This window comes from Homo sapiens, chromosome 15, assembly GCF_000001405.40.
Source record: "Homo sapiens chromosome 15, GRCh38.p14 Primary Assembly".
In the NCBI taxonomy this organism is placed as follows: domain Eukaryota; kingdom Metazoa; phylum Chordata; class Mammalia; order Primates; family Hominidae; genus Homo; species Homo sapiens.
In genome coordinates this window covers 42,825,348-42,839,296 of record NC_000015.10, presented here as the reverse complement: position 1 = coordinate 42,839,296, position 13,949 = coordinate 42,825,348, and the positions used below count along the sequence as shown (strand labels likewise).

Genomic DNA, 13,949 nt, shown 5'->3' with positions numbered 1-13,949 from the left:
CAGCTATAAAAATGAATGAAATCATGTTCTTTGCAGCAACATGGATGCAGCTGGAGGCCATTATCCTAAGCAAATTAATGCAGGAATAGAAAACCAAATACTGCATGTTCTTACTGATAAGTGGGAGCTAAACATTGAGTACACATGGATACAAAGAGGGGGACAATAGACACCAGGGCCTACTTTGAGGGTGGAGCAAAGAAGGAGGATGAGGGTCGAAAAACTACCTGTTGGATACTGTGCTCACTACCTGTGTGACAAAATCGTTTCCACACCAAACCCCAGCAACACACAATTTGCCCATGTGTCAAACCTGCACATATACCCCCGAACCTAAAATAAATATTGAAAAAGAAAAAAACCATAGCAAGTCTTGTCTACTTGAAACTTAAGCAGTAGTTGAGATAGAGGAGAAATGCCATTCCTTTTTCTTTTTCTTTTCATCAGTAACATAACTCTGTTCCCTGTATATTTTTTTTTTGAGATGGAGTCTTGGTCTGTCACCCAGGCTGGAGTGTAGTAGTGCAGTCTTGGCTCACTGAAACCTCCGTCTCCCAGGTTCAAGCGATTCTTCTGCCTCAGCCTCCCAAGTAGCTGGGAGTACAGCTGTGCTCCACCATGCCCGGCTAATTTCTGTATTTTTAGTAGAGATGGGATTTCATCATGTTGGCCAGGCTGGCGTTGAACTCCTGACCTCAGGTGGTCTGCCTGCCTTGGCTTCCCAAAGCGTTAGGATTACAGGTGTGAGCCACTGCCCCCAGCCTGTTCCCTGTTCTTTAGATGGTAGTGGAGTTAGGTCGAGGGAGCAGAGGAAAGAAATTCAGAAAAGGAATATTGGAATAATGGCTATAGTGGGGAGAAGAGGGAAACCTTTCTATTTTTTCTGACACTACCTCTGACCCTGAAAACACACACATACACACACACACACACACACACACACCCTGAATTATAGTCACCCTCAAAGTTTAAAAACCATGGTTCATCTTGATCTTGCTGCCTAGATCTAGAATTCTCAGTATTTCTTTTCATCTTAAGCAAACGTTGTTTTGGGCATTTGGTTTCTTTATTTTATTTTATTTTATTTTTTGAGACAGAGTCTCGCTCTATCACCCAGGCTGAGTGCAATGGCGCGATCTCGGCTCACTGCAACCTCCGCCTCCCGGGTTCAAGCGATTCTCCTGCCTCAGCTTCTGGAATAGCTGGGATTACAGGTAGTCGCCACCACGCCTCGCTACTTTTTGTATTTTTAGTAGAGACAGGGTTTCACCATGCTGGCCAGGCTGGCATTAAACTCCTAACCTCAGGCGATCCGCCTGCCTCAGCCTCCCAAAGTGCTGGGATTACAGGTGTGAGCCACCGCGCCCAGCAGGTTTCTTTATTTTCTTTCAAGTTATCTAAATAACAGTGATTCTAGAGACATAGATCCTGGCCTAAATGCTTCCTTTTCTCATCAGGAGGCTTTTCTTGTTTCCCTCAGCCATCCTTCAGATTTCATTTAGATTTAAAGATACTAACGTCTGTAGACTATAATCTTAAGGTCTTTCTGAGTCATGTGATTCACTAACTCTTGAGCCAGCCTAGTTTTATTTCCTTAAGCAGCTATCCCTGAACCTTTTTTTTTTTTTTTTTTTTTTTTGAGACAGAGTCTCACTCTGTCACCGGGCAGGAGTGCAGTGGCACAATCTCGGCTCACTGCAACTTCCACCTCCTGGGTTCAAGTGATTATTGTGCCTCAGTCTCTCAAGTAGTTGGGATTACAGGCACACGCCACCACACTTGGCTAATTTTTATGTTTTTAATTAGAGACTGGGTTTCACCATTTTGCCCAGGCTGGTCTCGAACTCCTGACCTCAAGTGATCCACCTACCTCGGCCTCCCAAAGTGCTGGGATTACAGGCGTAAGCCACCATGCCTGGCCTTTTTTTTTTTTTTTTTTGAGATGGAGTCTCGCTTTGTCACCCAGGCTGGAGTGCAGTGGCGTGATCTCAGCTCACTGCAACCTTCGCCTCCCAGGTTCAAGTGATTCTCCTGCCTCAGCCTCCGGTGTAGCTGGGACTGCAGGTGCGCGCCGCCACACCTGTCTAATTTTTGTATTTTTAGTAGGGACGGTTTCACCATGTTGGCCAGGCTGGTCTTGAACCCCTGACCTAAGGTGATCTGCCCACCTCGGTCTCCCAAAGCCCTGGGATTCTAGACGTAAGCCACCGCGCCCAGCCTCTGAACCTTTTTAGATCATTAATTTGGATCCTGCTTTCTCTCATTTTGGCTAGTAATAATATAACTTTTTGTGTGACATTTTATAGTTTTCATCTGGATTTATCATCTTATTTGATCCTCATTATACCCCCATGGGGAGGAGAGAACAAGTTTTATCCCTCTTTTGTACATGGAGAAGCTGAGTCTCAAGGAGGTTTGTGATTTGTCTGGTACTAGCCTACTTGATGGGTATTAAAGCTTGGTGGAAGCCTGAACCCAGTATTCTTTAGGCAGTAATAAGAGAAAACTGTTTTGTCTCAGGTTACTATTGACTGGAGAATTATATAAAGCAGCTTTTTTTCTTTAGTCTGCAGAGTCTTTCTGAGTCTTAGCATATATTCATTTTCATTCTTGTACTTACCTAAATCTGACTTTCTGTAAATGGGAAGGCTCCTGGTACTGGGAAACCTAAGAGACTGGTGTATATTAGGCAATGATGACCTTTGTGGCCTTTGGCAAGTTCCTATGGATTTGTCTAAGAACTTTTCCATTTGAATTGCATGCTATATTTTTTTCCTGTCACAAGAAAGTTAACCCATTTAAACTCCCATCTGTACAGTTTGTGGCTGACTTGATTTGGGATTAGGCTAAAGCTGGTATAACCGCTAGAGCATATTTTCTCTTATTTGACATATGGAAGATAACTACTGGGTCTCCTCCATGTATTCAGCTTCCCACAGAGAGTCCTAATTTATTCTAAAAACCATAAATTCATTATTCTTAAGATAAACTTGTTCTTTTCCTCCTGCTGATTCAATTACATAATATCTGCCTTAAAAATTTTTAAGGAACAACCTTATCTCTGTTGTAGAAATTCTATTTGCCATTAAAATGTTTTTTAAAATCTTACAGAGCTCAAGCAGTTGTACACATTTTTTTTTTCTGAATTCCCCTTACAAGACCTTAGCCAGGTCTCACCTAGTATTTTGTCACCACTGAAGCTTTATATGAGCATCTTTAGTATAACCAAAGTGTGATATATTGTGATAAGTACATCAACTACAGAGGTGCAAAACATTTTTTCAAGTGCTGTAACCAGTACAACTGTAGGTCTAGATTGCCTAACACCTACTACCTTTTAAAAGCTTTTTATTATGGGAAAAATTAAACATACACAAAGTAGAGAGAATAGTATAATTTACACCCATCTACTCATTACCCAACTTCAACAACTATCAGTATATGGCTAATCTTGTTTCAAGTATTTTCTCTTTCTCCTGTCCCTCCCGAAATTAATAGCTAATCCAAGGCATATTTTATCTATATATACATTTCTAGAAGACAAGAACTCTTTTTTTTCTTAAAGTAACCACAATACCTAATAATAATTCCTTAATAATAACACAAATATCAAACCAATCTTCAGTTTCAATGATCGTCCATCTCTTTAATAAATATTTTTTTTTTTACATTTGGTTTATTTGAATTGAGTTCCAAATAGGGTTCACACATTGCTTATCTCTTAAGCCTCTTTTAATCAATTGGTTCACCCTCTGTCTTTTATTTTCTTGCAATTTTCTTTTCATTGTGTTTATTGTTGTTGATAAAAATGGAGGAATTTGACATGCACACATTACCATATTCTGGATTTTGCTGGTTGTTTCCCTGTGGTTGTCTTTAATATGTATTTCTGTCCCCTGTATTTTCTATAAATTGATGATTATATAAGATTCCAGTTTTACTTTGCAAGGATACTTCAGAGGTGGGTTGTATGCTTCCTCTTGAATCACATCAGGAGGCAGTATCTGGTTGTCTGTCTTTCAGTGAGGTTAAGATTGGTCAGTGAGTTCAGCATTGTCAGTCTGATCCATCCATTTTAAAGTTACCAGTGGTTTTTCTCCTAATGGTTTTATCAACCCATTTGTAATCATCATCCATTATTTTAATGGGGGTTGCAAATACAGTGTTCTATCATTTTATTCTTCTTTTGTTTACTAGAATTCTTCTTCAAAACCACTACATTCACTATTAGGTTATCCTCAAGTATATTTTATATAGGAAAGGCAGGACTACTACTTGATTATTTTATTTATCAGTTTTTAGAATAATGAATTGGTTCCCTAATATAAACACATAATAAATATATAACTATATAATAAATCCATAAATTCATGGATTTAACATGTTTGATGTCTTTCAATTATTGCAGTTTTATTTTTTTGAGACGGAATCTCACTCTGTTGCCCAGTCTGGAGTGCAGTGGCACGATCTTGGCTCCCTGCAACCTCTACCTCCTGGGTTCTAGCGATTCTCCTGCCTCAACCTCCCAAGTAGCTAGGATTACAGGCTCATGCCACCATACCCAGCGAATTTTTTTATTTTTAGTAGAGATGGGGTTTCCCCATGTTGGCCAGGCTAATCTCAAACCCCCAAAGTGCTAGGATTACAGGTACCTGGCCTACGGTTTTTTTAATATTCAAATTGTCTCATCTTTTGCTACAGGGGCTTCTTTCATGTTGGATCTGGATTCATTTTGTTAGGACTAGGCTGCAGCAGTCTTTGATAGCATCCTTATTTTTTGGTGCCACACTGAGTACCAGACTCATTCTGTATATTTCATACTCCAGATCTGGAATCAGCCATTTCTCCGTTAAGCCTTGGCTCCTTTTAATGGGAAATGATGTTTAGAGACCAAATTCTAGATGATGTGGGTGTCTGTTGAAAGTGAGTTGGTCATTATTTTTAATTCTTTTCAAGTGGATGGATTTAAGAAATACATTTTAAAAAATGAGAAATTATGCCATGGTTCATATCGATGTTTCTAATTCAAATTTACAATGATATAATTGCTAATAACTTCTACTTACATTTTTATCTCTTTCCTTTTATACACCCCCCCCCTTTTTTTTTTTTTGAGATGGGGTCTTGCTCTGGTTGGAGCACAGTGGAGTGATCACAGCTCGCTTCCGCCTCTACCTCCTGGGGTCAAGTGATCCTCTTACCACACCTTCCTGAGTAGCTGGGACTACAAGTGTCTGCTACCATGCCCAGCTAATTTTGTTTTGTTTTGTTTTGTTTTGTTTTTTTGAGACAGAGTCTCTCTCTGTCGCCCAGGCTGCAGTGCAATGGCGTGATCTCGGCTCACTGCAACCTCCACCTCCCGGGTTTAAGTGATTCTCCTGCCTCAGCCTCCCGAGTAGCCTGGACTACAGGCACGCGCTGCCAACACGCCCAGCTAATTTTTGTATTTTTAGTAGAGACGGGGTTTTACCATGTTGGCCAGGATGGTCTCGATATCTTGATCTCGTGATCCGCCTGCCTTGGCCTCTTAAAGTGCTGGGATTGCAGATGTGAGCCACCATGCCTGGCCCTAACTTTTTAATATTTTGTAGTGATGAGGTCTCAGTATGTTGCCCAGGCTGGTCTTGAACTCCTGGGCTCAAGTGATCCTCCTGCCTTGGCTTCCCAAAGTGTTGGGATTATAGATGTGAGCCACCACACCTGGCCGACAATTTTTAATGTATATAGATGAAATTATATGGTTAGAATTTACATGAAAATAATTCAGTACATGTGGGTGGGAGGGGAGAGGATATGGATGGGGAGGTGAATAATAATGAAACAAGACTGGCCATGAATTGATAATTATTAATTCTGGGTGACCAGTAGATACATGAAGGTTCATTATATTATTTTTTCTCCTTTTGGGTATGTTTCATGTCTTCAATTTAGCAATTCACTTGCATTTTTATTGAGATCTTGTAAATTTATAGAGAAATGAACTTGCTTCTTTTATTCATTCCACATTACTATATATAGTCCTCTTCCTTTTTTTTTTTTTTTTTTTTTTACAAAATTTGGTGGCTTGTGACATTTTATTTTATTTAAAAGATTTTTATTTTAGGTTTGGGGGTACATGTGAAGGTTTGTTACATAGATAAACATGTGTCATGGGTTTTTTTTTGTATGTAATATTACATCACCCAGGTATTAAGCTCAGTACCCACTAGTTATCTTTTCTGCTCCTCTCCCTCCTTCAATCCTCCCCGTCCAGTAGACCCCAGTGTCTGATGTTTTCTTCTTTGTGTTCATAAGTTCTTGATTCTTCATTTTTTGAATGACTGCATATCAGTCAGTAAGATGACTGTACTATTATTTATGTAACTATTCACTTATTAATGTACTTACAATAGTACCCCCTTATCTGAGGAGATACTTTCTAAGGCCCCAAGTGGATGCCTAAAACCACAGATCATACTGAACCCTGGACATCTGGGTAACTGATTGGGCCACTAAGTGATTAATGGGCAGGTAACAACATGTGGATACGCTGGACTAAAGGGGTGATTCACGTCCTGGGCCTGACGGAGCAGGATGGTATGAGATTTCATCACACTACTCAGAATGGCCTGTAAAGTAAAACTTATTAACTGCTTATTTCTGGCATATTCCATTTAATATATTCGGACCACGGTTGACTGTGGGTAACTGAAACCAGCAAAGTAAAACCATGGATAAAGTAAAACCATGTATAACCATGGACTATTGTATAGGGTGTTTTCGGTTTTTCTTTGTAACAAATAATAATTCATTAGCAGTATTTAAAGTATAATTTAGTGCGTACCTGCATGTTTTTACCATGTTAATAACACTTTACCCCATACTCTTATCAGTTTTGTGTTTACCTTCTCAGATTTTGTGAGTTGATATGTTAGGCTTATATTTTAAAATATTTAAATCTTTTAAAGTATTACTAATGTCATAAATAAAATTTAATTGATTTCCTTTTGAAAGTTTTTGTGGTGAAAGCTGTTTACAAATAAAATTTCAATTTTAGGTATATTTTCGGCATCACAATTTTGATTTTTGAAGAAAAAACTATTGGAATGCTAATAAAAGTTATTAGGTACTCTCATGTGGTTATACAGTTCACTGCTGTAGACTGTCACTTATTTAACGTTCGCTACAGGTGCAGGGAACAACAAATTTCCATTAAAAATAATAACTATGGTAAATCCCAATTAATTTATATTATGAGAAAGCTGCATTTAAAAAAGAAGGTACGAAGTATGAAAGGATCCTGACTTTACTGTAACTTTTAAACTGTTACTTGAGGAGTACTTCGTATTTTATTTTGAATAATATTAATCTAAGAGTTTATTACTTTTCAAAAGTGAATCAATTGTCTTTAGATGAAGTGATGATATTAGTCACATAGTACCCCTAAAGATATATTATAAAATTGTGGGAATAGATTGGGATATTTAAATCCCCTTGCGATAGGAGAGCCAGTCTTTGGGAGGTAGTGCTGCAGGGCCATGGTCCTGCTCTCCTTTTCAGATTACTGGTTTGTTACCTAAGCAGCAAGGAACCTTGGTGGAGCAGCATCATGAAAAAGTCTGTAGAAAAGCTCTGTGAAAGAGGACTGTAAAAGAAGAGCACTTTGGGGTCAGAGTTAGATTTGGAAAACAGCTTTACATTAACAGATTAACATTATTTAACCTCTTTGAACCTCAGTTTCCTTATCTGTAAAACAGACACAGGAACAGCTTCTATTTAGGGTACTGTGAAGCTTCAGTGCAATCATGAATGGCAGACGCTGGATGTATTCATTGCTTTTATATACTTCTACAAGTAAATTGAATGTTTGTCATATAATGTTTGGTCATAATAACAATAGTTAGCATATGTTGAGTACCTGTTGTGTACCACACAGTATTCTAAAAACTTTATATGGGGCCAGGCATGGTGGCTCACACCTGTAATCCCAGCATGTCAGGAGGCTGAGATGGGAGACAAGGAGTTTGAGACCAGCCTGATCAACATAGCGAGACTCCATCTCTATTTAAAAAACAAAAAACACACAAAAAAACTTTAAATATAGGTCTTGTTTAATCCTCACAGAGCTCTGTGAGGTAGGTTTTATTAGCTTGTTTTTATGAGGAAACTGATTGAAGAAAGTTAAGTAGCTTGTATGAGAATATATGTTAGGCAGTAATGAGGAATTAGTGCCCTTTGTATGTATATGCATTCTATATACTTGATCACACACACACACACACACACACACACACATATATACATTTTTTTTTTGAGATGGAGTCTCGCTCTGTTGCCCAGGCTGTAGTGCGGTGGCGTGATCTTGGCTCACTGCAACCTCCGCCTCCCTGGTTCAAGTGATTCTTCTGCCTCAGCCTCCCGAGTAGCTGGGACTACAGGCGCGTACCACCACACCCGGCTAAATTTTTGTATTTTTGGTAGAGACAGGGTTTCACCGTGTTAGCCAGGATAGTCTCAATCTCCTGACCTCATGATCCGCCCACCTCAGCCTGCCAAAGTGCTGGGATTACAGGCGTGAGCCACTGCTCCTGGCCTGATCACATATTTTAAATAAATAAATATAAATGTAAATAATATAAATTATATATTTGATTACTTATATTTTAAATAATCAAGACTTTTTTGTTATGACTTCAGAGATAAAGGGAAACATGAATCAGAAACATGATATGCTAAAAATCTGGTTTTTCTAAAACTTGTCTGAAACATTCGTGTGATTAAGAGATCTGTTGAGTGAGAGGATCACAATTTGGGTAAAATTCTTGCTATTGGCTGGGTGCAGTGGTTCATGCCTGTAATCCCAGCACTTTGGGAGGCTGAGGCAGGTGGATCACCTGAGGTCAGGAGTTCGAGACCAGCCTGACCAACATGGTGAAACCCTGTCTCTACTAAAAATAGAAAAATTTGCTGGGCATGATGGCATGCACCTGTAACCCCAGCTACTCGGGAGGCTGAAGCAGGAGAATCGCTTGAACCCGGGAGGTGGAGGTTGCAGTGAGCCGACATCGCACCATTGCACTCCAGCCTGGGCAACAAGAGTGAAACTCCCTCTCAAAAAAAAAAAAAATTCTTGCTATTTTGCTGAAAACATCTTTTAATGGTAAGTGAGTAGTTTCCCAGTCTTCTCTTATACTATAGTTTTAGTACTGTATTTGAAAGTGTTTATTTGATTTCCATAGGGTCGGAATCTGGCAGATCTTCGCCGTAGCCAGTCCCGAGGCACATTCACCATTAGTACCACTCTCCGGCTGGGTAGACAGATTTTGGAGTCTATTGAAAGCATTCATTCTGTGGGATTCTTGCATCGAGACATCAAACCGGTAGGGACCTTTTCTATCCAGAGCACAGAATGAGTTTGATACTTTTAATGTTATGATGGGACACAATAAATTACAAATGTAGCTTTGTGTATTTGCTGTGGTAAAATACAAGGTAATATTTTCATTCCAATAGAGACCTGGAAGCAAAAATATAACTTACCTGTTAATTTTTTTAAGTGATAATTACAACTACAACTTATTTTCAGGAGTTTTTCTCATACAGTGAAAATAAAAACTGAGACTGGGGCAGTGGCACATGCCCATAGTCCCAGCTACTCAGGAGGCTGAAGCAGGAGGATTCCTTGAGTACAGGAGAGGGAGAGTACAGTGAGCTATGATCGCTCCTGTGGATAGCCACTGCACTCCAGCCTGGGCAGCATAGTGAGACCCTGTCTCTTAAAAAGCTTTATGTTTGACTATTATTATGTGTGCTAACATTGCCAGTTACTTAACCTTATGCCTAAATTGGCATTATTCCCTGGTTTCTTTTATAGATATATTGGTTAAGAAACTATATATGTTGCTTTTAGTTGTTCATACTGTGTTCTTGAACTATTTGTTAAGTCAAAAATTATAAGAAATCATCAGTTGTGAAAGACCTTATTTTTCTCCTGACTGCTACTGTGGAAATATAGTGGGGTTTTTATTTGCTAATCTGTTTGTCTTAGAAATTGTCATTTCCATAAGTGTGAAATAGGCTTTTTTGTCCTTTTTGGTGTTTGATTGTTCATTAGGTGAAATGACCGATTTCTGATATACCATATTTACTATAAATGTATCATATGTTGGTACAGTTGAAAAGTATAACCGTCAGTTGTTACATGACTTCTAAAATTAGCTTACATGAAAATGCTAACTAAATTTAACGTAGTAGAGTCAGTCTATTTCTATGCATCATTATTTGAGAACTATGGTACTTGGAAGAGTTTCTATTTTTATCAGAAAGCCCCTAAGTAGAACAATATTAAAACAAAACAAAAAAAACTAACAATTCTGGTAACAATTTGGCTTTTACCGTCACAAGTCCTCTTACTTACATACTCATCTTTGCATTTGTGGTCATTTAATATCACACTGATTTTCATTAGGGGAAGAATACAAAGTGTATTTTCCTTAAGTCTGTTTTGAAATGTTTCTATAGATTGTATTTTAATTTTGGACTTAGTGAAATTCAGCTTTATGATGCTTATAGGAAAATCTTTTTTTTTTTTTTTTGTGACAGAGTCTCACTCTGTCACCCAGGCTGGAGTGCCGTGGCGCAATCTCAACTCACTGTAATCTCCGCCTCCTGGATTCAAGCAATTCTCCTGCCTCAGCTTCCTGAGTAGCTGGAATAACAGGCGCGCGCCACCGCACCCGGTTAATTTTTGTATTTTTTTTTTTTTTAGTAGAAACGGGGTTTCACCATGTTGGTCAGGATGGTCTCAAACTCCTGACCTCGTGATCCACCCACCTCGGCCTCCCAAAATGCTGGGAGTATAGGCGTGAGTCACCGCACCTGGCTGCTTATAGGAAATTCTTTTAAATTTCTACGGGGTTTTTTTTTTTTTTGGTCCATCTCTGATTTCTCCTATTTTAAAAAGTAGGGATTGGGCTGTCATTTAAGCATTAACTTAGACTAGAATTTCAAGAACTTAGAGTTCCAAGTCTAGTTAATGTTGTCTTGTGTGTAACCTTAGTCATTTACATCCTTTTTTGCTCAAAGTTTACCTGATATTAGGCACTAATAGAACCCAAAACTAAATCATATTTTAATACCACTAAACATCATTTACTAGAATAGTATATTTGGAACATGTGTGTTATATAGAGCTTAAATAGAAGAAGACTTAAAATGTAAGAATGATAAAATGTAAGGACTAAGTATTATAAGAATGTATATATTTTCCTTCTTTATTTTTCTAGTCGAACTTCGCTATGGGTCGCTTTCCTAGTACATGTAGGAAATGTTACATGCTTGATTTTGGCTTGGCTCGACAATTTACCAATTCCTGTGGTGACGTCAGACCAGTAAGATTTTTCATATTATTATCAAATATTTGATAATTACCCTGGTATTTATAGTATCACACTTTTTAAACAATGCTAATTATTTATCCTAATGGATGTTATCTAAGAAGTGGCATATACATTTAATGATTAAATTATAGAATGACAATAAATTTTATTGTTGAAATTTGTGGCTTCAAAAAATGTATATTAGAGGGAGATTTAGAGTGGTCTTATAGTAAGAACACACATTGACCCTTTGAGATTAGGGGTCATTTTTGCAGTATGAGACCCTTTCTACATGCTATAATTCTATTTCGGTTATTGTACTTTTTAATCCACTCCCAAATATCCACTTCACTGATATTCTCTATTTGGTGCCACACTGTCATCACATTTTCTTTTACTTGTTTAATCAAGCTGTCCTTTATTTCTGAAAACATATCTATAATGGCTACTTTGAAATCTTTTTCTGTTAAATCCAATATCTGGTCACTCTCACAGGCAGTTTCTGTTGCCTGCCTTTTTCCCCCTATGTGTAAGTCATACTTTCCTGTTTCTTTGCATGCCTCATGATTTTTTGTTGGAAACTGGGCATTTTAGGTAATATATTACAGCAACTCTGGGTACTGGTCTCCCCCTTCTAGGGCTTGTTGTTATTTTTTGTTTAGTGTCCGACAGGATCATTTTAGTGAAATCTATTCCGTTCTTCCTCCCTCCCTGCCAACCATACACACAGTATTAAGACTCTGCTGTTGCTCTTCAGGGTGGTGCGTCTTTGGGTATGACCACAATTACACTGTGATGGTAGTGGTACCAGTAAGGCTCACTTCTGCTCTTTCCTTGGCCACATCCAGCTGTTGAACTTCACTAATTGCAAGCCAGTTACTTTATTGTTTATGACAATATCTTGGGGGCATAAATACCTTGACTAATTTAATCAAATTGTGGCTTCTAAAATGGAATCATTTCTGAAGTCAGTGTTTGATCATTGTTCTGACGTCAGGTCCTTCAGCTATCTTTTCCCCCTAGTTCTCTCCTGCCCAGCTATTCTCTAAGCTGTATGTTCAGTGAATTTCCTCCCAGTTCCCTTTACCACAACCTCTATTTTTGATAGGGCTTTTAGGTTTGTTAAAAAGAAAACATTAGGCAAACTAAATTGAACAGAGTTTAGTTGAGCAAAGAATGATTCATGAATCAGGTAGCCCCGAGAATAAGAATAGGTTCAGAATGACTCCGGGGCTGTCACATGGTCAGATAACATGTCTGAACATAAAAAGTAAAATGAGTACAGAAAATTTGAGGTACAGAAACAGCTGGATTGGTTATAGCTGGGCATTTGCTTTATTTGAATCTGTTTTGAACAGTTGGCTGATGTGGTTGGCTGAGACTTGGCTATTTGTTACAAGAGTAGTTTACAGTCTATTTACACATCAAGTTAGGTTACCATCAGTACCTGTAGGCCAGCCATAAAACATGTACAGAGGCAGTTTTAGGCCAAACTTAATTTAGCAATAAAACCGTAAGGCATTGATGTCACTCTGTCAATATCGTAAATGGACTTATTTGGTCTCCTTATGGGATTCAAATGAGACCAAGTCTTATTTGGTCTCAGCTCCTGTCTGTTTTGGGATCTGTCTCCTTCTTTAAAGTTTTGGTTTGATGAAATTAATAATAAATCTAAAATAAAAAATAAATATAAAAATAAAAGTTAATGTCATACTTTTTTGGATTGTGGTTGAAATAATTTTCTCATATTCTACTAATGTAAAATCAAAAGTTCCCATTGTAGATTTGTTTCATATGTACAATTATTTATTTATTGCTAGGAAACTTGAATTGGTTGTTTGGACTGTCTAAGTATACCGTCATGTTATCTGCAGAAATCTGTATTTTGATTTTGTTTATTTTGTCTTGCTATATATATATATATTCCAAAAGAGTGTAAAAAACATTAAAAAATTAAGGAAGAATAACAAAACATCACTGGCCTCCATCTAGGTTAAGAAATGGCATGTTACCGTCTTAGAAGCATGCTGTGGGTCCTTTCCTGATCATATCCCTTTTTCTTCCTCAAGCAGCACTGACAAATACAGCTTACTATGATGATAGCAATGTTCTGTATCTGTACTGTCTTATATGGTAGCCACTAGCTACATGTGGCTATAGAGCACTTGGATTGTAGCCAGAGCAAATGAGGAACTGAATTTTATTTTATTTTATTTTATTTTTTCGAGATGGAGTCTCGCTCTGTCGCCCAGGCCAGAGTGCGATGGCGCCATCTCGACTCACTGCTACCTCCGCCTCCTAGGTTCAAGTGATTCTCTTGCCTCAGCCTCCCCAGTAGCTGGGACTACAGGCGCCCGCCACCACACCCAGCTAATTTCTTTTTGCGTTTTTAGTAGACATGGGGTTTCACCATGTTGGCCAGGCTGGTCTTGAACTCCTCACCTCAAGGGATCCACCCTCTTTGGCCTCCTGAAGTGCTGGGATTACAGGCATGAGCCACCACACCTGAACTCAGGCCCAGGAACTGAATTTTAAATTCAATTAATTTTAAGTGGCTATCATATTACCCAGTGCAGCCCTTGACATACTCTC

General features: G+C 38.4%; 1 protein-coding gene across 9 annotated transcripts in view; it reads left to right on the top strand.

The window, feature by feature from the left end:
* TTBK2 (tau tubulin kinase 2) overlaps positions 1 to 13,949 on the top strand; it is a 182,271-nt gene that overhangs the window by 81,704 nt on the left and 86,618 nt on the right. For all 9 annotated transcript variants that reach the window (XM_006720402.5, XM_047432189.1, XM_005254173.6 and 6 more), the window contains 2 exons: positions 9,219 to 9,359; positions 11,265 to 11,369. In XM_006720402.5, coding sequence (XP_006720465.1) covers positions 9,219 to 9,359; positions 11,265 to 11,369 — 246 coding nt within the window. The remainder of the gene's footprint in view (positions 1 to 9,218; positions 9,360 to 11,264; positions 11,370 to 13,949) is intronic.